This window comes from Homo sapiens, chromosome 5 (assembly GCF_000001405.40).
Source record: "Homo sapiens chromosome 5, GRCh38.p14 Primary Assembly".
Lineage (NCBI taxonomy): Eukaryota > Metazoa > Chordata > Mammalia > Primates > Hominidae > Homo > Homo sapiens.
In genome coordinates, this window is record NC_000005.10 from 157,807,815 (window position 1) to 157,833,589 (window position 25,775).

Consider the following 25,775-nt stretch of genomic DNA (forward strand, 5'->3'; position numbering starts at 1 on the left):
AAAGTAACAATACAGAACACACACAGATATCTAACCAGCCTACATAGCGTTATTGTTTATAAGTAAAACCTAAGACCCAACCAGACTGTGTGGATCTGCCTAAAGTAACACAGTTAGTGGTGGAACTGAGCCTGCCCTGAAATGTCTCTTTTTCAAGACTGTTTGAAAAACTGGAATGTGATCTTTGAAGAGCTAGAACTTATTTTTAGCACTTTGAATAAATCTATTTTACAAGTATATATCTAGCTTTTTTATACTGAAAAAGGATGCATATGATAATTATAAATACTAAACATTGGGAGGGAAATGGTGCCCACTTCAAATATACAGAGCTGTTTCCCTCATTAATGTTTTTGTGGCCTGTGTAAGTTTTGGCTTGGTTTGGAAAACATTATTGAAATTATGGCCATTATTCTGTTGGTATTTCCTGAACAGGCATTCCAGGGATTTAAAAGATATGAAAACATCCTAAAAATACACTAATTAGATTGTATTTTTGTTTGGACCTCTTTTTAATGATCCCTAATTCTGAACTATTAGGATTTTTGGCGCAGGGTAAAGAAAAAGAGATGGCATTTAGTTACGAGAACTCACTTGAAGGCTTGGTTCCATCACTAACTGTGTTATTTAGGCAAGTCCACACAGTGTGACTGGGTTTTAGGTTTTACTTATAAACAACAAAGACAAAATTCTTATTCTACTCTAGTAGAGATATTGTGAGGCACAAATGATAAAGGTCAAATTTAAAAAGTAAAATTTGCTCTGTAAATTAAGTGCTATATGCATTACCCTTTACATTCTCAGAAAAATTGGTTTATAATAATATTGGTAAGTAAGAACAAAAGTGACTGCTGCAAAGCTCAAAGTATTGTTCCATGTAAAACTAAATACCATCAGAAAATGTAGTTTATAAAAATACAGCTCTATTCTCAAAAACTGGTTCAAAATCCATTTGGATTGTTTTTCTGGTACACACTGGCACAGAATCATAATGAAATGTCAAGGAAGCATTAAATTTCAAATCCTTTGACTTATGTTTAATTAAACTTAATATATAAACTTCATTATCCCTCAGTATCTTAGGTCCCTGGATCATCTAAGGTCCAAATGCAAAATAATCTATACAAGTTTTTACTGGGGAAAAAAATCCAAGGAAAGACTACTAGCTTGAATAAAAATACACAGGATCAACTTCAAAAATAAGTAGACAGAGGCAACATGGAAAGTATGTCAATACTAATTGCAAGTAGTGTATAACCTAGTATCTTAAAAATAGTTGCACAGTGCTTGCTTCAGCAGCATATGTACTAAAACCAGAACAATACAGGGAAGATTAGCATGCCCCCTGTGCAAGGATAACTTGCACATTTAAGACTTGTTCCACATTTCTGCACAGGGCATATTTATGGCAGTGAAACTATTCTATACAATACAGTAATGAGGAATATTATGCATTTGTCGAAACCCATAGAAGTGTACAATATAGGAAACCCCAACGTAAACTACAGACTTTAGTTAATAAGTGTATCCATACTGGCTTTTCAATTGTTAACAAATGCACCATAGTAATGCAAGATGTTCACAGAACCTGTTATGAAGGGGAAGTGGGTATATGACAACTCTGTACTTTATGCACAATTTTTCTGTGAGCTTAAATTGCTCTAAAAACAAATGAAGTCTATTAAAAAAAAAAAAAAAGGCCCAATTTCAGATAATGTTAATACCCCAAACAAAACCAACAAAAAACCAAAAACCCAGTGGCATAAATTTAGGGCTCTTTCTAAGAGACCCGGGAGACAAAGTGGTAAAATACCTGCATCTTTCTGGAGAGTCTTCTCTATCTTTCCTCCGGAACTTGCTGATGGTGTCATCAATTGTGCTTCCAATTTTATCACTCAGCTCACCTAATTTATCACTGAATGGAAAAGCACTCTTGTTTTTATCCCACTCCTCATCCCATTTTGATTTGGGCTCAGGATCATATCTTTCACCTAGATAGAGCATTAAAAAAAGAAGCAATTCTAACGACATTAAATTCAAAAGGTATCTACAAGTCCTTATTTCTCAGGCTTTTCCTCATAATAAAATCATTTTCAAAGGAAAACAGAAAGCTCCCACAGTGCTGAATCAACACAATTACAGCAAGGCATAGCATGTAATGCCAGTCATTAAGTGGCAGGAATGCAGATTCAAAAGCTTTTGTTTATGAATACTTACACAACCTTAATGCACAGCACAGCATATCAGGAAATTCTTAAAGGCTACTGAAAGGAGTAGTGGAAAACACAAAACCAACACAAGCTATATAAGCAAAAGAGAAATGAAAATCTTTCTGTTTTCACAAAAGACACTTAATATGTTATATTTTATTCCTGTCCCTTAATGGTTTCCCAATTTTCAGAAAAGCATTGGATAGCAACAGTATCTTAAAAAATACAACTGAAGGAACTCCAATCTGAATGCTACATGTCCCAATAAGCTAAAAAGTCTCAATAACTGTCACGCCTCAGTATCAAACTAAAAAAATAATTCAATGAATTTTCAGGGGATGGGAAAGCATTCCGTAATTACTGTACAAAGAAAGGATTACTCTAACTACCAAAAACTACACATACTAGAATCAGGAAGTATGCTCAAACAGTAGTTCAGAACAGTGTCAACCAATTCAAACACCCATTCCAAACATATGCTGAGACTGGCGAAACCTAGAGCCTCTGTGTGAATTTGGGAATGCAGAGAATAGATCGTGGCAGTAAACAAAAAACCCAAAATGTCAAGATTTGTTTTAGTCCTTGCCCCTAGGGACCCAAAGGAGACATAGGAATTACAGACACAAAATGAAACCCTTCCATTTCCATGTCCAAATCCAACTTAAGAAGCAACAGTAGAAGGTACAGAGAGCACGTGAGGTATTTTTAAAAAAGAAAACATTAAAAATTAAGGCAGGTTGGAAGAAAATGAAAAGGACAATGAGAAACAACAAAATAACTAAAAAGTGGCTAATGGAGCTTTTGTTTTGAACTTTTGTTTACAGGATCTAAAAGGATACATAGCCTTTGGAGATTGAACAAAACGATTTTGCTGAATTGCCTCCTAAAATTGCAAGGCTAAAATTTTCTGTTACATGTTTAAGGATTTTAACATATTTACTGAATCTGGAAATGACCATCAACTTAAAGAAAACATGACAAAATGAAGTTTTCTAGACAAAATTTAAACCAGGATGGTTTTTTTAAAAAAAGTGATTTTCCAACAATGTGTATGTACATTTCAACAACAGTGTGATGAACCAGACTTCGGAAAGAAACAAATTTACACGAAAAATGGAAGTGGATGAAAACCAAACTGATTAGCATGGCATGGTGAACATCATACTGAATTACTGCTAAAGATACTGGATATTGGCAAGACATTATCTAATGTCAGAATGAAAAAACACAAAACTGGCCGGGTGCGGTGGCTCATGCCTGTAATCCCAGCACTTTGGGAGGCCAAGGTGGCTGGATCACTTGAGGTCAGGAGTTCAAGACCAGCCTGGCCAACATGGCGAAACCCTAAAAATACAAAAATTGGCGAGGCATGGTGGCTCACGCCTGTGGTCCCAGCTTCTTGGGAGGATGAGGCAGGAGAATCACTTGAACCCGGGAGGCGGAGGTTGCAGTGAGCTGAGATGGTAACACTGCACTCCAGCCTGGATGACAGAGCAAGAATCCTCAAAAAAAAAAAAAAAGAAAAGAAAAAGAAAAAACACAAAACTGCTAAGAGTGATTAGTTAAGTCTGAATAACATAAACCATGAACAATAACTTAGCAAAAGGATGTGATGCAAACACACAGGATATCCAACTCTATCTTTAATACAGATGCTGCAGTTAGTGCATTGTGACTGAGTTTGAAAACGTATTCAATTTTCTAAGTTTAGCTGATATAATTATATATCATGCTGGCAAAAAGAAAGATACAAGCAAGAATAGTGTGGAAATAAGTTTCAAATAGCAATTTCTATTAAAAACACATTAAGTTGCTACAACTACTTTGAAAAACCTGAAGAATAAAGTTACTACTTGGGTAAATAATCCAAAAACTTTGGACTTCCCCAAATAGAAACTTCAAAACATTATTTATATGCTTTAGGAGAAATATTTTTGCCCAATTCAAAAACTAACTTGTGGCCGACTCTGGTTGCACTGCCTATGAGTTAGCCCTATTTAAAAAAAAGAAAAAGAAAAAACTAACTTGTATTTGATGCTTCAATATAAAAAAGGGAATTTTTCTGCTGTTAGAAACATCCTTAAACAGCTAACTAAACGCAGTGTTTTTTCTTTGAGAGTGGGAAAGCAGAGGAATAAATGAGTAAGGATATTTTATATGTTAAGATTTTTACATGGTTCCATTGAAGGAGATATGAGAGCTCAATATAATCCAAATATAAACATATATGGGTGGGGGGAGCTGGAGAGCCTCAGTGAACAGCTGCTAAGATACACAGCACTGGCCAGTCTGCACATACACAAAATGAGCAAGAGATTGTCAGAGCTCACAGAAGACAGAACAAGTCCAAAGGGACATGCCGTGAAAGACAGTTCCTATTTTGTGTATCTGCTTCAAGCACCTATGCCCTATTTTAGAGAAACTATATTATTATATTAAAAATAAACATGAAAGATGAATGTTCTAGCTGCTCTTAAGTGTACTGGGAAGAATAAACAAAACAATAGGCCTAGATGAAAAACTGCGAGTATCGTCAGTCATCTTTTATATGTCAAAGTATGCAATGCTTAAATAAAGAAAGAGAGACTGAGGCTGGAATGACTGTCAGGAAGCTTATCTGGTTTGGGCCAAAAATACAGCTAAATTGGTTTCAAATTAGAAAGATGGATCTCCTGATCAAACTTTTTATTTTTATACTCTAAACTCTGAGTTATAGAAACTTTCTTCCCCCTTCTTTTTAAAATGGCAATCCTAAGAGGGAAGGGCATATATCTGTTTTAATCTCTGTATGACACCTCAAAATATGCAGTCATTTAATTAGCCATTAATGGTTAAAATCCTATTGCCGAACCCACAAGTTAAAAATAGGAAGATTCATGTGATAGTAGAAGTCAAGATTAGTACTGCGTGTATTTTAGTATTCTATGTATTCCTAGAAAAGAAAATTAGCATTTTGGTCTTTGGTATTTCACTGATTCTTAAAATATACTCAAGAAGCTAAGCTGATGCTTAGGTGTCAGCTTGTCTTTGATACTCACTGTATCTGAATCCTCCAACACTGTCTGAGGAAACCCCAACATACTTGTCTTTGTTCTTCTTTGCTTTCTTTCGCTCTTCACGAAGCCTGTCGTCATCCTGGGCAAATTCAACCAATTCCTTCACCTTCTGTCGAATATTTATACCTTGATCCTTACCATGCTCATCTATGAGGATGGTAAGAGATAAGCAAAACCTAAGAATTCACTTAATATGTATCAAGCTCTTTAAGATTAAAAAAAAGACACAAAAACTTCAACATAAGAAACTTCAATATTTAAAAAACAATAGAAAGGGGCAAGTTGTGCTATTTAACTTTGTCATTTCCTCTTCAGCAAATTCTAAGTTCTAAAATGGAATTTTGGCTTATAAGAGCATGTAAAGATGAACTAAAAAGGACCACAGATAATGGTACTATGCAAGGTCAATTAAAGATTGACCTAAAAAGGATTACTGATGATGACCACACAAAATAGACATATCCATAAGTGCTATTGTGTTTTTCTATCATATTTTAAGAAAACAAATCAAAAGAAGAACCACTTTAGCATGTTAATAACTGAAAAGCACACAAATGTCTTGGTTTCCCCAGTACACGTCTGGAACACTAATTATGAGGTTTTAGCATAGCTCAAAAACTGAATTTTTAAAGTGCTTACAAGTGGGGTACGCTACAAAATGAAATGTGCTTCATTTTCTAGCCTCTTTCACATTCAAAACACACTGTGGCCTTGCTGCCTTTGCACAGTAAATATTATTTGGTGGGAGGGAAAAAAACCCCAGCTTCAAACAGATGTGTGTGTTTTGGAGCTCTAACCTTTTCTTCCCATATGATTAAAGCTATTCCTTTATGGACACCACAGGGGACCAGTCTCCAGTGCATATTTTAATATAAACCCGAACACTCATGTTGTGTTGGTTCTGTTGTTATTAGCCAGTCTTTTCTGCAAGTTCTTGTCTTCACTAATTAATACTCTAGGGCCCCACGTCTTGGATTCTGCACTCGTCACACAACCAGCAACAGTCACATTCTAATTAGAGCAGAGAAGCTTCTAAGCTGGTTCAGGTGACTGACAACTCCAACTACTGTTTTAATTTGCTTATAAGGTTTTTCTATTGCTTACCTACAAAGTGGTAATTTTCCAGGGATCGTAAATCATAAATGTGTTCTCTGGCACTTGTAACAACACGCTCTGATCCATTCCTTATGAGGTAAGCTAGGAGCAGCAACGACTGCAAAAATACAAAGCAATAAATGATTTAATGAAATATATTCTAGTAGAGCTTTGGTAAATGGTTAAAAAAAATAATTCTAACATTAGCAAATAAAGAATCTTCATGCTGGTGGTGAGGTTTCTTTACATTAGACTTTAAACACATAATCTAGAACTTACATAATCAATTTGAAGTTCCTCTTATATTAAGCATGATAAATAATTATAAATCATCTACTGGATACTATGTGTCAAAGACTTAAAAGAATAACACTGATGTTCAAAATATCAGAATGCTTGATATAAATAGACAATAAGGTTTTAGAAAGCTGACTCAGTTTTTACTTTTTATCTGAGCATTATGGAACTGTGAATTGCCAGAAATTATTTGGTAATTAAACAATCCTATAGTATTTTCCCCAGATAAAATTTAATTTTGAGGTTAATTATGTGGCTTTTGTTTTAAAAGGTTGTGGCCAGGCTCAGCGGCTCATGCCTGTAACCCCAGCACTTCCTGGGAGGCCGAGGTGGGCGGATCACTTGAGGTCAGGAATTTAAGACCAGGTTGGGCAACATGGTGAAACCTCGTCTCTACTAAAAATACAAAAATTAGCTGGGCATGGTGGCCCACGCCTGTAATCTCAGCTACTGAGGTGGCTGAAGCACAAGAATCACTCGAACCCAGAAGGTGGAGGTTGCAGTGAGCTGAGCCCGCACCACTGCACTCCAGCCTCGGCGACAGAGAAACTCTGTCTCAAAAAAAAAAAAAAAAAGATTGTTACCAAAAAATAATAATTTAAACAACCTGAAGGTAGAAAATTTTGCAAAATAGACATCTTCACACATACACACACACACACACACACACACACACAAATAGCTGGGTATTGTGGCGCACACCTGTAGTCCTAGCTACTTAGGAGGTTGAGGCAGGAGGATCTCTTGAGCCCAGGAGGTCAAGACTGCAGTGAGCCAAGGGCATGCCACTGCATTCTGGCTTGGGTGACAAAGCCAGACTGTCTTAAAAACAAACAAACAACAACCAACCCCCACCCCCAAACTAAATTTTGTTAAAATGTAAATTTGGAATGACTGCTAATGGGTGTAGGGTTTCTTTACAGGGTGATAAAAATGTTCTGGAATTAGACAGTAGTTACTCCTACAAAACTTTGTGAATATACTATATAATAAATTGTACATTTTGAACTTAACAATGCTTGGAACAAACCTCACTTGATCAGGTATATGAAAATCTAGTTAGGCGGAAAGGAGGGGGTGGCAAAAACAAAAAAAATTTAGTTAGGTTGGTAAAACTGAGGGACACAAAACCTCCTTCTACCAGTAATTTACAGCCATGTGTCACTTAATGATGGGGATATGTTCTGCGTAATGTGCCATTAGGCAATTTCGTCATTGTATTAATATCATAGAGTGTACTTACACAAACCTAGATGGTATGGCCTGCTACACACTGACAATCTATAAGACAACCTATTGCTCCTTGGCTACAAACCTGTGCAGCATTGTTACTGTAATGACTACTATAGGCAGCTGTAACACAATGCTGAGTATTTTTGTATCTAAACATAGAAAAGGTACAGAACAAATAGAGTATTATAATCCAATGGGACCACTGACATATAAGCAGACCATCATTGACTAAAATGTCCTTATGTGGTATATACGACTTTTAAAAAGGAGTTTATCCAAGAATTTTTAAAAAACCAAAAAACTAAAAGCAAATTTAATTTACAGAAATTTCAATTATTTCATCACACCTACCATACAACCTGAGGGAATGACACTGAATGTTTTCAGAAAGAAATAACAACAAAAAAAATGAAACTAACACATAGATTTTCAATCCTAAAAGCCAAACTATGTCATTTTGGATAGCAAAGAAAAACATTCTGAAGAAGCAAGAAAATATGGTAGGTTATAGAAGCATAGATGACTATATTATTATAGAATTCTGCATTATATGAGATCAGAACAAAAGGAATCTGATAAAAAGTTCGTATTCATAAGTTTAAAATTAGAATTATATTTTGAACATTTTGGATACAAAATACTGTGAGAATACTATCATAAATTAGGTAAATTTCTATGTCGATGACAAACCATATCAGACTGTGGTATTCATCTTAACTGCTCATACACTAAACATGCACACTACTCTACTATAGATTCATTATTTTTGATATGCACAAACATTTTAGTAGGAAAAATTTTAAGAAATAATCAACATTTAGAAGTATTATTAAGAATTTCTCATTCAGAACAATTGTTCATGATGACTAGAAAATAGAACACAAATAACAAATCTACTTCTTTCATGTGCTTTCGATTATTCTATTCTAGGATTTAATATACTTCAAAATCACCTATGTATATACACCTTCAATTTCCAGCATTTGTTTTCAACATGTCAAGTAATTAAAGCAGACTTGTGTCCATACCTTATAAACTCTTCTCCAATTCTTTTTGTTGTCTTTTAACATTCGTGACCAAAGCATGTTCATAAGTTCTGGAAATTGTTCATACATAAATGTAGCCCTGAAAAAAGAATCATTCTTTAAGAGTCTGCAATATATTAATTTTGACAGTAGATGGCAGACTTGTTCTAATTTGGTGTTTCCCTGAAGAGTTTTTAAAAATTAATAAACTTAATTCAAAAAATTTAGAAGATATGTACTTCCTTGAAAATGTTTTCCCTATGTTTTATACACTACCTGGCACATATGTAAGCCCCACTAATTAATCAATACTTTGCAATTAATAATTAATTAAATTAATTAATATACTTTGCAAGCTCTTCATTCACTGGTACAATGGCCCAGATGTTCACAGAAAAATTTTTTTGTAACTTTCACTTCAAGTTATTTTATATGCATTTGTCAAAATTTTACATGGTGAGCTACAGTGTATCTCAAAACTTCATTAAAAAAGATACACTGTGAGTTTCTTTTTTGAGCCAAATTTTTAAGGGGAATGGATTGCATAAAACTTTCCACATTAGTATCTGAAACTCTCTACATTACTATCTGAATGATTATGCAAAATTTATATTTTGGCAGCCAAATAGTTTAAATCTGAAAGCAAATTTCATATTTCTGTGTTAAGATGCTTTGATTTTTTTCTGCACTGCTGAGTCAAATTATCACTTACTTGGCAATCTCTCCCATGAGTTGCCCAGAAGGTCCCCAAGGATCATCGTTCGTTGCCTCTCGAACCTTAGACTCGATCTCTGAATAATTCATAACAACATTGGTGCTGTAGAGGAAAAAAATGCACGCACACATGCACAAAGATTAGCATCAAAACTGAGAAACACATGAAAACTTAATAATGACACTACTGGGTGTCCTAATGAGCTACCTCTACAGGATGGGAGAGAAAACATCTTTTGTGCACAAGCTACCCCAAGGACACTATGTAACACACTTAAGTTATCTTTAAGCAGATTTTACTATACCATTAGCCTTCAAGAATACAGATGAGAGATTACATTAGAGCTGGCATTAAGTCCAGTAAAAAATGGCTGAAGGTCAAATTAAAAAAAACAAAAACAAAAACTGAACATGCTGGAGTCTATTATAAAACTAAGTTGTCAGTTTCTTGACCAGATCTGGTTTACATGCAATGCAGGCTTATGTTTCCTGCTTATAGAAATTCTATAAATTAGGCAAAATTATGTAACAGCTGAACAGTATCTATATCACATTTTTAAAAGAATAAATCAAAGATATCTACAGATGTTTAGAACCACTATAAACACTGAACTGTGATCCTTGAGTCTTTTTTCATTTACTCTATCATATGCACTTCTATGTCATATATTCACTGTAACCCTCACTTTTACTGGCTGCATAATATTCCATCAGGAGATTGTACGATGGACACTTAACTTTCCCTTAGGTCTTCAGCAATGATCAAGAACGTGGGCCTCAGGAGTCAGAAAGATCTGATTCCAATCACTTACTATGTGACCTTTGACAAAATTATTTTAATTATCTTAATCTCAGTTTCCTCAACCAATAAATAAGAATACTACCTCAAAGGCTAGCACAGCAAATGGTGTTTATTTAGCACAGTGTCTGACATATAGAAAGTACTCAATATATGTTAGCTATTATTACTATCAAATATAATAACCAACACCAGCCTGGGCAACACAGTGAGACCTGGTCTCTAAAAAAAAAAAAAAAAAAAAAAAAATTAAAAATTAGCCAGACATGTTGGCATGCACCTGTAGTCCCAGCTACTAGGGAGGCTGAGGTGGGAAGATTGTTTGATTCCAGTAGGTCAAGGCTTCAGGGAGCCATGACCGCCCAACTGTACCCCAGCCTGGGCAATACAGCAAGACCCTGTCTCCAAAAAACAAAAGGAAATATATATAAAATAACCATCTATTAGGAGTATTTCAAAACATTATGTAATATTTTTATATGAAAGAATTCACTTCGGAAAAAATCAGATTAAGACATGAGATGGCAAAATATTTGGTTAAAATGGAATTTCTCATGCTTATATGAATTTAAGAATTCAAAGACATTTTGAGAATAAAGACTGCAAAAATGTGACATCCTATAGTAGTATTCATTTGACATCGAAAGCTCCAATTATTACCAAATAATTGTTATAACAGGTGTCTGTGAATATGGTAATTCAATTCTTCCACTTAGCATTAAGTCTTAGAAATAGTGAAAAATCAGAATTTGGTTAACTATTACATGCATATACCCCACTTTTGCTATATGGTTTTTCAGTCATCAAAAACTTCTATTTTTAAAATAAGGAAGGTTTGGTTGAAATTGGCACTCAAATCTCTTAAATATAAATTTCAAATTTATTACAAACACTTCAATTTCTTCATGTTTAAAGAACAAACCAACAAACAGGTTTGGGTCAAATTTTAAAGGAACAATTATGCATTTAAGTGTGACTTGCCAAAAAACTGAATCAATCTGGCTTTCAGATTTAAATTCAGAACACTGTTCTACTATGGAAGAAAAGCAAAATCCTATTATTTTCTTTCAAATCTTGGAGAAAGCTGCCTCCTAAGATATCAATTAATGTGACAAAATAAATATAAATTCCTTCCCCAGGACTAAAATAAATCCACAATCTCCACTGCCCACCCCCCCTTAAAAATGTTAAGACCACTAAGGAATACATTTTCGTTAAAATCCAGTAATGCTTCTATTGCAACAGTTTTATGTATAAATGTAGAAGAACAATTTTCCTCCTAATTTTATCAACCATGGAACCAAAATAAAACTAAGGCAGCCAATAACAGATTCACAATTTAAGATGCCACAAAATGATGAATTTCAGAATGCTTTTGTTTATCCTGGTGGCTGAAGAATGCGTGGCTTAGGCAGTTAAAAGTGTCAAAATGCAGCTGTGAAAATGAACAATAGCAATTAGGATTATAATTCACCCAAGCATTTCATTACCAAGAATGCACTTGAAATCTCTTTGCATTGTTTAATTTGTTGGAGAACAAGATGAAAGAAGTTAATCTCCAGTCCATGTACATGAAATATTTTTACCAGAGCCTTCATAAATGCTGTAGATTTCAGAACACTGCTTTCCTTGTTCAAGCGACAAAGGCCCATGGGTCAAATAAGAAAGGTTCTGTTTCCGTAACCCTTCACAAGATTCTTAGCTGAAGGCCTGTGTGAGTGCTGTGTTTAGAGGGAGAGGTGGCAGAGAGCCAATAATCTAAGAATCTCCTCATTTCTTTGGTTGAAAAACAATGGGAGCCATCAGAACATACTTACAATATAGTTATTAAGTATATCCACAGGAGGATATGGCAAACATAAAACAAAAAAATAACAGAACGCTTACACAAAGAAACCAGATCTATTAGAAGTTATTTTCCAGGCCAGGTGCAGTGGCTCCTATCTGTAATCCCCAGCACTTTGGGAGGATGAGGCAGGTGGATTGCTTGAGCCTAGAAGTTCGATACCAGCCTGGCCAACATGGCAAAACTCCATCACTACAAAAAATACAAAAATTTGCTGGGCGTGGTAGCGTGTACCTGTGGTCCCAGCTTCTCAGGACGCTGAGGTGGGAGGACTGCATAAGCCCAGGAGGTTGAGGCTACAGAGAACAAGACCCTGTCTCCCACTCCCCTCCCCCAAAAAAAGCTATTTTCCAATGAAGCTGTTGCTTTCAGAAACTGCAAAGAACCCCCTCAAGATGAGATTTGATGGCATAAAGAATTCCAAGACAAAGTATTTTAAGCTTCAACTAATTCAGAAACAAATGTAAACTAAAAACAACACTGTATGGTTTGGCCTTATTCCAGGTCATTTAAAAATAACTATTTCTAAAAAGGTAGAAATGGCATTTTAATCCTTCCTTTCTCATGTTTTCTACTGCCCTCAATCTATGCCCTACCCATAATTCCAGTGACCTTTTTTAAAAAAGAAAACAATCCCTCCGTGTTAAAAATAAAAATAAAAATTATGTCCAGATTTGAAAGGAAAAAAATGGCTAGTTTAATTCTGAAAACTTCTGACACAAATGTTTTAAGAATATATCACAGACGCTAGAGGGGGCACTCTCAACGGTTTCTTAAACACACACACAACAATCCAGACAAAGGTCTAGAATTTGATCTGCAAACAAAATTACAGAAAAAGACACCGCCCCTCCCCAATAAATTTCATACCATTTAAACTAACACTACAGTCAAACAAGTGACTTACGGACTTTCACCAATCCTAAATTGAGATTCCTAACTTGAAATTTTAAAAAATTATCTCTTTACACTTAGTTGTTGTTTTTTTTAAAGTACCGGCAACCATTATTATGACCTTCTGTTGAAGGCTCAAAGTCTTTGGATACAGGCTTTTCTACTTACATTTCCTTTCATGTAATTATCATTATAACACTTAAAGGTAACCAAGAATACTTTGATAACACCAAAAAAATTTTCTGTATATTATTTTAAACCAGTCTGACAGTAATACCAAAAGAAAACTTGACCCACAAAATATCTAATGATTTTTAACATTTCTGCTGTCACCATCAATAACTACCTTTTATTTCCAGATTTTTATCTGTATTTAATTTCTGCAAACATAAACAGACATGAGATGTAATAATGGAGGGAAAGTAAAAGAAGAAAAATAACTTTAAGAAATGCTGCTGTTTCACAAGAGAACATAAACCAGGAAAAAAAATGTTGCTGTAATTTTTACATTTCTTCACTAGTTTAAATAGTATCTGTAATTTTCAGAACAATCTAATAGTCACCAGAAAGTACAAAATGAGCCCTTCTCACATGTGTTCTATCTAGGCTTACTCAACATATTAACTTTCTCTTTGCTTAAAACAAGAGTCTTGAAAATGAGTGACTTGAAGAGTAGGTTTCTCTGTCCTGATAAAGATAGGTAATTACTAGGATCACACTGTTTAAATGTAACAGTTACAACTACTGGGTAGTTCAGCAGTATAACTGGCTAACAATACCAAATCTTAACGGACTCTAATATTAGGCCAAAAAGAAAGTTAAGAGAGGGAATGAAAGATGGAAGGAATCACCAAAGAATGAAGAATACAAGAATAAAATCCATAGACACAATCATTATTGTTTATGAAACTGTTTGTTGTTTCCAAAGTGCTTTTACTCATTTTCACATTTGCTTCTCAGAACACTCCAGCAACTTCACTCTGCACAACTCAGCAACACTGACTCACTAGATCTTTAGTGCCAACTGCGAGAAGTTACCATCCTCAAGTTTTGCACACATGCTTTGATATGGTTTGGCTGTGTCCCCACCCAAATCTCATCTTGAATTGTACTCTCATAATTCCCACGTGTTGTGGGAGGGACCTGTTGGGAGATAATTTGAATCATGAGGGCGGTTTCCCTCATACTGTTCTAGTGGTAGTGAGTAAGTCTCACAAGATTTGATGGTCTTTTTTTTTTTTTTATACTTTAAGTTCTAGGGTACATGTGCACAACGTGCAGGTGTATACATGTGCCATGTTTGTATGCTGCAACCGTTAACTCGTCATTTACATGAGGCATATGTAATGCTATCCCTCCCAAGATCTCATGGTCTTATCAGGGGTTTCTGCTTTTGCCTCTTCCTCATTTTCCCTTGCTGCTGCCATGTAAAAAGTGCCTTTCACCTCCCGCCATGATTCTGGGGCCTCCCCAGCCATGTGGAACTGTGTCCAATTAAACCTCTTTTTCTTCCCAGTCTTGGGTATGCCTTTATCAGCAGCATGAAAATGGACTAACACATGCTTCTAGAGCTATGTAAACACAGCCAGTATTCAGTTAGTCAAGGGTCAACTATTCAGTTTGTAAATTATTAGTGTTCATCGTAGCCCTCCTCTTTATTCTCCATTTTCTGCTTATTTGACTACTTGACATTCAGATAATATCAAATTATTTTACTTGGTAAGTTTCAGTCCAGTTTTTAGAGGTAGAATTGATTAAAAGCTAAAATGAGGCTTTTACTTACAGGCAGTCAATACTTCTTATCTACATTAAGAATCATCAGTAAAATAATTAACAAGAAAAAACTTGAGCAGTCCTTGTTGGTATTTTTTCCTCTTAAAAGTTCAAGAATATGCTTTGCTAAAACAAAACTATACACCAAGAGAAAAGGTAAAGTATAGGTATAATGTGGTACTAACTGCTAACAAAGGAATAAGGAGTAAAGTGAAACAGATTGAGAAGTATTTTTCCCAGTTTGCCTTTTAAATTTTATTCCTTTAAAAAAAAACTGAAGTCAAATGAATCTATATTTTTTATATGGTTTCTCTTTGTTTTAAGCTTATTGTCAAGATTTCACTCATCCTGAGATCAGGCAATCTTTTATTTGAGACCTCTAAATGTGTTCTGACGTACGCATGCATACACACACCCATACTAAGATAATTTAAAAGACAGAAACATCTGGAGACAGAAATAAACATAACTTAGTTCCAAGCAACAGTTTTAAATAATGTTTTTCTTTATATTAATACTCTCCTGTATTTTCCAAATTTTTTCAAAGTATTATATTGTAACCAAGGTTAAACTACTAAAGGCCATTAAAAATATAAGTACTGTATCATCATTAGCTACATTTTAACTATTTATAGGCAAGTAAACATCATGGTAGACCACATGAATATTATCTGTACTTCCAATATCTTGTTTTATCAGGTTAATAAGTGCAGCAAACAGTAACTAAAATATATACATACAGACTAAAATATGTACACCAAGTGCTATGTATGCAAAACCACAGAGAACAATTTAAGTACCCAATTTTGGAATTAATATGATTTTTTAAAACTGTTAGGGATGAATAATTCTTGACATCAAAATCTGTATTTAAAAGTCACCTTTTATCCTCAATGCCACAAAGGTTTCAGAAAAGATACTTTTATAAATTAAATGCTCTTATTAAGTATAAATCTTCTTAATAATTTTTTTAACATAAAACACCCATAAAATTAACATTGTAGAATAGGGGTACCCAACCCCCGGAGTTGCGGACCGGCCTGTTGGGAATGGGGCTGCATGGCAGGACATGAGCAGTGGCGAGCGAGCGTCACTGCCTGAGCTCTGCCTCCTGTCAGATCAGTGGTGGCCTTAGGAGCGTGAACCCTGTTGTGAACTGTGCATGTGAGGGACCTAGGCTGTGTACTCCTTATGAGAATCTAATGCCTGATGGTCTGAGATGGAACAGTTTCATCCGGAAACTATCCTCCCCAACCCCTGGTCTGTGCAAAAATTGTCTTCCACAAAACTGATCCCTGGTGCCAAAAAGGTTAGAGACCACTGCTGCAGAAGACAGTTTCCTCAGGTAACAAAAGTCTTAAACCAGAAACATTTGGTCTTTCTTTTTATGTTTCCATCCATAACATTAGATAAATAGTTTTAAGAATAACTCTAGAAGCTAGATAATGAACCTTGTGATATTCATTTTTTATCAGGGGATAGCCTCCACCACATTACCCTTGTTTGCAAGTTGAACATTTTATAGGTTCAATACTCGTATTTTAATATCAAGTTATATTTCATTACAGTCCTGTGAACAGTATCAAATGTACTGTCAACGGCCAAGAAGCCTACTATTCCTAAATTCAACAGGTAGATTACTTTCATTGTTAACGAAATATCTGAGGCTCTATAGAAATGATGTGGGGAGGTGGAAAAACTCATTCGTCCACATGGTGGGATATTCACCACCCATCAGAAAAAAAAGTCTCTCACTGATCTGCAAATGAAAATGAAATACAATGCAATGAAAAAGTCTTAACACAAGCGACAACATAGCGCAGTAGAAGAGATAATTTTGCTATAGTAAACATGTTATAAAATAGCCATGCTGTTAAAGCAATAATAAACCATAGTACTCCCTCCATATTGCAAGAATTCCAATAAAATAAAGTTTGGAAAAGTACAGAAGAAACAAATATCACAATCCTGGACACTTCCTCTAAAGAAACTCACTCCAAATCCCACAACTAGTAAATGGCATATTTAAAAACTATTAGGTCTTTTAATTCCAAAGCCCATTTTCTATTATGTCACACTGTACTAAAATCATAGAATATAATCTGGTCTAAGATGACATCAAATGTAGCATCACAAATTATGCTACAGAAGAGCTATATGCCAAATAAATATTTAAAAAGATATATTCTCAGTCATGGAAATTACATTTTCTTTGGTTTTAGTAAATATTAAATACAAATCATCTAACTGAAAGGGAGGAAACTGATGTCTCTCCTCTTAAACATGTACTTTTAAAAGTAAAGAAAATACCAGTTTGATTAGGGAAAAACTGAAATCAGAGACATCTAAAATCTGAAGCTCTCTTACCCATTCTGCAATAACAAGATTTCGGAAAAGAGTAACCTAGTTATTAATACTTAAAACATATAACCTATTCAATCCAATGATATCATATGTATATGGGATGCATATTATTTATGGCTTCAACTATGTACACAAATGACTATGCTGGATTATGCATCTTCTGTTTTCCTCTTTACTTTTCAAGAGGGAACTCTAAATTTCTAAATGCTGAAACACAAAACTTTGCTTTTAAAAATAACCATCAGGAATTTGCACAAAAATATTATACCCTATCTTTTAGCTTTCTCAGTCAAAAAAAAATTACGATCAAATGAGTAAAAAGCAGCTTACTACCAGGCTTTGAAGGAGGAGGGGAGCCCCATAATACTTTTTAAATCTATTTAAAATAATTCTGGATACTCAAAGATCAAGTTAGTTACTATAACTGAGAACCTAAAATACCTTTAAAACATGGCAAACTGCCTAAGTCCAAACTCTAGCTGCCTGTTCGTATGAGATTAAAATTACAGAAAATGCTGTCTTAATGTTCAAAAACACCACTTCCAATTTTTTCCTCCTGACATGATGTAAGACCATAGAAACTGGTATAACTATTTTTAAAATTATAATTAAGTTGTCAGAAAATTAAGGACTGTATTCTTTTTTTAAACCAATGCTACTCTCACATCAATTCTACTTCCAAATTCTTTGTTTCATTCTGACTAATGCTGGCCTTCAATTTCAATAATCGTTGAATCCAGTATTATCATGAAGGCAGAGAAATGAACCACAGAATTGTAATCACTCTTGGTGTTTTAATACTACTGAACATTGCTGATTGATATGGCTGAATATTCTTGTAACCTTAATTCAAATTTTTACACTGTATTTGTACTACTTATAGATAAAATAGATAAATATTATGGAACTGTTTTATATGTAAGTGTTTTTCAGTTTGAGGAAGAAGGGAGAGGAGGAAGGGGGAGCAAGTGAAACACCAAACAATACTCTGCAAGTAGGAAAATTCAAAAAGCTGTAAGAACTCCTAACATTCTCGGAAGATTAAAGACCCTTGTGTGTATCTTCAAAATTATGAAAATGGAAATGTCTGTACAGACTGTTAACAATCTCCCACATTTATCCATAAATTAAAGATCCTGTGCTTATCCTCACCACCGGATAATGAATACATATCGTCACCAAAGTCTTATTTCTCAGGTAAACTTTTGCATAGCAGAACACTTCATAAATTTACTGATTCTACATAGATTTGACTGTGTCATCAATCCAAGCTATTGCCAAAGTTGATGTGTTCCTCTCTAAATATATGTAAAGTATTTATTTTCTGTCCATGAATTATCATTTTCTTAGACTCTATCACATTAACTACCAGCACAAGAGGCTGGCTTTCAGTCATTTTTTTTTTTTTAATACAGAAATAATTTGGTACCACAGCCTCAAAGCTGGAGAACAAAGCTAAGCTGTGAGGTGGATGTGAGGGACTGGTTTAGCCAAGTGACATGTTTCCATACATGCATGTGAGATCATAACAAAATTATAAATTTCCTGTGTCAAACCTTCCAGATGTTTTAAAAAGTCAAAACTTTGTACAGAAAAATCTATCAAAAACTTATTGTATTTCACAAAGAATGGTTTCATAGCAGGAAATGTAACGCAAGAAATTTAATCTGAGCAATTTGATGAGTAGCTGACATTAACCTATTTATACCATACTTTCCCTTCTAATCTCTAAGAATATCCAGTACAGATTGTCAGTATTATAAATAGTCTTTATCTAAAAATTTCAAGCTTAAAAACCAGTTTCCAAATCCTGACAACTGCAAACTGTACATTTAGGAAATACATGGTAACTTGCTTACAGAAGAGTTTACCTAACATTCCAAGAAAATTTCCAGTATTGGTTCAATTAATAGTTTGGATGGGGCAAAATTAACCAGACTCACATCTAAAATTTCTGAGATTTCTAACAACCAATATGTCTGTCCTAAAATATAGCTAGCAGAATAAATCTTAAAATTTTTTTTCCAAAAGCAAGCCACATAAAATAATTATTTTATGAAAAATTCAAGGTCAGAAAAGATTACCTAATACGAATAATCACTAAAGAAGTCAACACTCCAAGTTTAGTTTCAAACGACAATCTGTCGGACTAAAATGTCTATATAAGAGGATAATTGAAAAGATAGGAACTTATAGAAGCAAGGACTAAAATAACCCATTTTATATAAAAGGTCATTAAATGTTTATAGTCCAACATAAAGTCTTTTGGGAAACACCCAAAACCATATAATAATTTTAATGCCTCAAAAAATATAGGGACTGATCCAAAACAAAAAAAATATTTAAACCAGGATAGTGGTGGGATTTCTGCCCCTTAAAGTCTGTCATTTAATTCTTCTTCCCCAAAAGCAACAACTCTTGATCGCTATTAAACATGACTTAAACTGGCAACTTTTCAAGGAAATAGTTTAGTAATTTATGTAACAGATGTGCAAAGAAAACTACACGAATGCGATAAGCCAAGAAAAACATCCTGATGTCCATAACTAAATTATGACCTGTGGGAGGAAGAAACTATGAAACTATTTCCCCTTCCTTACAACTTCAGTGGTTACCAATACCAAATTTTCAGATTTTGCCCATTTTCAGATATTAAAATGAACCTAGACCCCAGAAACTGTTCCAAAAGACAAGGCCATGCTAAAGGAAAATATTGCACACTTATGTATTTTTCATCAACTGCTTCATCTTTTATGGCTATTTTGTGGCAAATGCAAAGTAATATTGTATATTAGTTGATCAATAATTTTTTAGAGATTATTAGGGCCTGAATTTTGTCTCTGGCATATACTACCTGATCCCTGGACACATCAACCACTGTGTGACTCTGCTTCCTCATCTGAAAGGTACCTATGTATTATTATCATTATGGAGATTAAATGAAATGACATGTGTAAAGCATTCAGTTTTCTGTTATTATTTATTATGTTGTATATGGAAGCCCTTCTACTCCCTCTCTAGCACAGGTGCTGCTGCTATTATGACCTGGGCAGATGACAGGCTTACAGAAAAACTGTCTCAAGACAGGCTAGTCCCACAATGCTAAGGCGTTTTTATTTTCCAGAGAGGCACTCTAGCAGCAGTAAGACTGCTGGAGGGGCTGTTTTGTGGCTAGCAAAAGTGAAAAATTGTGACGTTAAGGGAAGTAGGATGAAAAATAGCTTCCAAAATGTGGCAGCAATGGTACTTGGAACAATGTAAGCAACAGAGCAGGCAGAGGCAGTCACCACTAGAAAATTCCTTTCCTTCCATGGCCATAGAAGAAGAAGCCTCATAACACAAAAGTATATGAACGCTAACAACTATATAAAAACACATGTACATGTGAGCAAAGCCCGGAAGAACCAAAAAAACCATATGAAAACAGCTGTGTTAGAGTGGTAATAACTAGAGTGGGTTGAAGGGGGAGCATCTGTTTAAAAATTTAAAAATATTTTTAATTTATACAACTTTAAAACTGACTTTTTAAAAGAAAACTAAAATAGCACTTGTAGTAAAACTTCTCTCAAATTGCTAAAGAAGTATCCCTGGGCTGATTTAATTTTGCTGGGGATCACCCCTAACTCCCCTGACTCAGCAGTCTGTATTCTATCAGTGCACCACCTGCATAGATAAAAACTAAAAAGGGCCGGGCACGGTGGCTCACACCTGTAATCCCAGCACTTTGAGAGGCCGAGGCAGGCAGATCACTTGAGATCAGGAGTTCGAGACCAGCCTGGCCAATATGGTGAAACTCTGTCTCTACTTAAAAAAAAAAAAAAAAAAAAAAAAATTAGCTGAGCATGGTGGTGTGCTCTTGTAGTCCCAGCTACTCAGGAGGCTGAGGCAAGAGAATTGGTTGAACCCGGGAAGCGGAGGTTGCAGTGAGTGGAGATCACACCATTGCACTCCAGCCTGGGCATGGAAGCGAGACTCTGCCTCAAACAACAACAACAGCAACAACAACAACAACAAAAAACACTAAAAAGACAGCTTTGGGTGGAGGAAGGGCCAGAAGGTAAGGGTGTCAAGTTGCTCTCTGCCCCTAGGCTAGCTGTGGAACACTGTGCCCTCAACAGGAAAGACTGGGAATGACAGCCCCAACTCAAACTATTTCTATTTCCAGCTGATTTCTCTTATTATGTTTCTTTAAAACTTCCAAGATTTTCATTTTTAATTTTTTTAAAACAGTAGTCTAAATGATGTTTTGTGAAAAATACTTTGCCTGGAAGATATAATAGGTGCTATGTCAAAAAAGGGTTCCAGGGAAGGTCTGAAAAATGTTTAAACAAGGGCAACTTTATTCATGTAACACTTCTCAGAGACTATTATTTTAATGGTGCATTGTGAGTCTCCAAGAGAGATAATGCACTTTTTTTTGAGACAGTCTCGTTCCAATTGCCCAGGCTGGAGTGCAGTGGTGTGATTTTTCAGCTCACTGCAGCCTCAACCTCCCTGGGCTCAGGAGATTCTGCCACCTCAGCCTCCCAGGTACCTGGGACTATAGGTGCACGCCACCACACCCAGCTATTTTTTTTTTTTTTTTTTTTTTTTGTATTTTTAGTAAAGACAGGGTTTCGTCATGTTGCCTAGGCTGGTCTCAAACTCCTGGACTCAAGCGATCTGCCCACCTCAGCCCTCCCAAAGTGCTGGGACTACAGGCGTGAGCCACTGTGCCCCGCCAATATTAAACATTTCTAAAACTTTTGTGACAACTTATCCTTTTCCTGGAACATCTTGTTAGTATCCCAAGAAACTCATTTTGGTATATGCTATTCTAAAAAATTGCCCTTTTCTTCTTTCTTTAGAGACAGGGTCTTGCTCTGTCACTCAGGCTGGAGTGCAGTGGTGCGATGATGCCTGACTACAGTCTTGACCTCCCAGGCTCAAGCGATCCTCTCACATCAGCCTTCCAAGTAGCTGGGACTACAGATGCATGCCACCACGCCAGTTAGTTTTTATATTTTTTGTAGAGATGGGGTTTCGCCATGTTGCCTAGGCTGGTCTCGAACTCCTGGGCTCAAGTGATCCACCCACCTCTGCCTTCCAAAGTGCTGGGATTACAGGCATCATCCACTGCAACCAGTCGTCCTTTTCTTCAAACTTCCAAAAATATTTTTAGTTTATACTTTCATCTTGCCATTCTTGTTTTTGGTATCTGTTATTTCTTATTTTTTACCTAATGAATAGGTTTTCCTTTAGTCTTTTATTTTTAAGTTTTAATATTCTTGTTAGGTAGCTTTCGGCCTCTTATTTTGCCTTAAATCTCATTTTTTAAAACTCGTTTTTTACTGTTAATCTTAGTTTCCTACCTTGCTTATTTTCAACATCATCTGCTTTATTCTTTTCGTAAGAGTAAATGCTTCACACTGCTTTTTAAAAATACTGTACTTCAAAAACATGGGTTTTTGTTGGGTTTAAACAAAATACCTAAGGGCTGGCAAGATGGTTCACGGCTGTAATCCCAGCACTTTGGGAGGCCAAGGTGGGGCGACTGCTTGAGCCCAGGTGTTCAAGACCAGCCTGGGCAATATAGAGAGACCTTGTCTCTACACACACACTCCCCCTCCCACTCTCCCTGCCCCTCCCTCTCTCTCCCTCTCTCTCTCTCTCTCTCTCTCTCTCTCTCTCTCTCTCTATATATATATATATATATAGAAACACATTTAAGCCTGGGCAACAGAGTGAGACCTCCATCTCTACAAAAGATTTCTAAAAATTAGCCAGGCGTGGTAGGACACACCTGTAGTCCCAGCTACTGGAGGTGAGGGTGGAGGGTGGGGCTGAGGTGGAAAGACTGCTTGGGCCTGGGAGGTTGAGGCTGCAGTGAGACATGATAGTGCCACTACACTCCAGACTAGATGACAGAACAAGACCCTGTCTCAAAAAAACAAACAAACAAAAAAAAGTTTAAACTTTATTGTAATCCTTTCAAAATTCTCACTTGTTTTTAGCTTTTAGTTTTAATTTCTTAATAACCCTCATTTAATAACCTTATGTTAAACAGCTTTCTTTTTTCTTCGTGTTTTACTTTTTTTTTTTTTTTGAGATGGAGTCTCCCTCTGTTGCCCAGGCTGGAGTGCAGTGGCAGGATCTTGGCTCACCGCAACCTCCGCCTCCCAGGTTCAAGCAATTCTCCTGCCTCAGCCTCTGCGAGTAGCTGGGACTACAGGCGCATGCCACCCTGCCCAGCTAATTTTTTTTGTATTTTCAGTAAAGACAAGGTTTCACCATGTTGGCTAGGCTGGTCTCAAACTCTTGACCTCAGGGATCTGGCCTTGGCCTCCCTAAGTGCTGGGATTACAGGCATGAGCCACCGTGCCCGGCCTTACTTATAACACATAGCAGGACAAAGAAACAACAAAAAGCACAATAAAAAAGATGGATGATCTCTCACTCTCACACCAGCAGCTACTTCTTTGGGTCCCCTCATAAAGAGGTAACATTGTTCATAGGGGCCAATTAAATATGTATAGGATATAGGAGATAATAAAAATAAACTAGCTTTATCAAGTCCCAAGAGTGAAAATATCCTTTTTTTTTTTTTTTTTTTTTAAGACAGTCTTGCTCTGTCGCCAGGCTGGAGTGCAGTGGCACAATCTTGGCTCACTGCAACCTCCACCTCCCAGGTTCAAGCGATTCCCATCTTACTCTCCTGAGTAGCTGGGACTACAGGCGTACACCACCATGTCCAGCTAATTTTTGTATTTGTAGTAGAGACGGGGTTGCACCACGTTGGCCGGGATGGTCTTGATCTCCTGACCTCATGATCCACCCCCGCCCACCTCGGCCTCCCAAAGTGCTGGGATTACAAGCGTGAGCCAGTGCGCCAGGCCACTGTTTTTTAAGACAGAGTCTCGCACTGTCCCCCAAGCTGGAGTGCAGTGGTAGGATCTCGGCTCGCTGCAGTCTCCACCTCCCAAATTCAAGCGACTCTTGTACCTCAGCCTCCAGAGTAGCTGGGGTTACAGGCACGTGCTGCCACGCGAATTTTTGTATTTTTAGTAGAAATGCGGTTTTGCCATGTTGGCCAGGATGGTCTTGAACTCTTGACCTCAAGTCATCTGCCCCCCTCAGCCTCCCAAAGTGCTGGGATTATAGGCTTGAGCCACAGCGCCCAGCCAGAGCTGCTTTTTACAATATTACTTTCTATGTATATTTGAGAAGTAAATAAAGGTAAATTTGAGAAGTAAATAAAGGTAGTTTCACTACTTTTTGTCCTGAAAAATGATCTCAGGGGCATATCATAAAGCTGAGCAGGCTGCAAGCTGTCACTGGGATATTTGATACCATCTTTGGGGAACTATTTGTTTGGTGTCTACTTCCCATTACTTTCCCACACCTGTTAGTTCTGCACTTAAGAATACTGACACTTCTAGCTGAGATTCCTACAAAAGCCATTTAACTATCTCTCCACTTCTGAGGTATCTTCTTTTCATTCATCTTCTACATGACCACATTAATCTTTCTAATATTTAGTGTTGGCCATGTTAGTGCACCACAAATTCATCACTACTTTCCCTCAAACATTTTCCTCCTACTGTATCAGTGGACAGTACCATCCAAGGTTATGGCTTGAGCAACACTTGAGAGATTACTTCTCTCCCTTCCTCCCACTGAATATCCAATCTACTCCCAGGTCTTTGCAATTCTATTCCCTAGGTACCTCTCAAATATGACTGTCCACTTCTCCCTACCCACACCAATACTACCTTAATCTAGGGTCACCACTATTTTTCACCTGGATTATTGGGAACAGCTTTGTAACTAGTCTCTCTACTTCGACTCATCTTCTACCAGACTAGGGCCAAAGAGAGCTCTTGATGAAATACAAATCCTTACTAATTGAAACTGAGCTCCTATTTTAAATCTAGTAAAGGCTTCCTTATTGCCTTTAAGCAGAAGTCCAGGCCAGGCGCGGTGGCTCACTCCTGTAATTCCGGCACTGGGGCAGGCCAAGGCAGGCAGATCACTTGAGGTCAGGAAATCGAGACCAGCCTGGCCAACACGGTGAAACCCTGTCTCTACTAAAAATACAAAAATTAGCCCGGCGTGGTGGCACATGACTGTAATCCCAGCTATCTGGGAAGCTGAGGCAGGAGAATAGCTTGAACCTGGTAGGTGGAGGCTGCCATGAGCCGAGATCATGCCAATGCACTTCAGCCTGGGTGACAGAGAGAAACTCTGTCTCAAAAAAAAAAAAAGGAGGAAGTTCAAAATCCTTAACAAGATATAAAAGGTCCTTCATATGAGATACCAGTTTACTTCTTCAGTCCCATTCATGTGTCATTCTCTCCTGAAGAATAGGCCTTTTGCACAGGCTATTCTCTCTGTCCCTGCTCTCCAGCTAACTCCACCTGATCATCAGGTCTTATAGCTTGAATGCCACTTCCTCCAAGAAACCTTCCTTAACTCCCAAAACAGTTGGGA

At 36.4% G+C, this 25,775-nt stretch overlaps 1 protein-coding gene and 1 pseudogene across 6 annotated transcripts in view; one reads left to right on the forward strand and one right to left on the reverse strand.

Annotated features, from left to right (window-relative positions):
- Positions 1 to 25,775, reverse strand: part of CLINT1 (clathrin interactor 1) — a 73,399-nt gene that overhangs the window by 22,068 nt on the left and 25,556 nt on the right. For all 6 annotated transcript variants that reach the window (NM_001195556.2, NM_014666.4, NM_001195555.2 and 3 more), the window contains exons 2-6: positions 9,629 to 9,733; positions 8,920 to 9,016; positions 6,371 to 6,479; positions 5,249 to 5,413; positions 1,814 to 1,991 (exon numbers count right to left, since the gene is read on the reverse strand). In NM_001195556.2, coding sequence (NP_001182485.1) covers positions 1,814 to 1,991; positions 5,249 to 5,413; positions 6,371 to 6,479; positions 8,920 to 9,016; positions 9,629 to 9,720 — 641 coding nt within the window. In that variant the 5' untranslated portion in view covers positions 9,721 to 9,733. The remainder of the gene's footprint in view (positions 1 to 1,813; positions 1,992 to 5,248; positions 5,414 to 6,370; positions 6,480 to 8,919; positions 9,017 to 9,628; positions 9,734 to 25,775) is intronic.
- RNU6-260P (RNA, U6 small nuclear 260, pseudogene) lies at positions 1,284 to 1,390 on the forward strand (annotated as a pseudogene).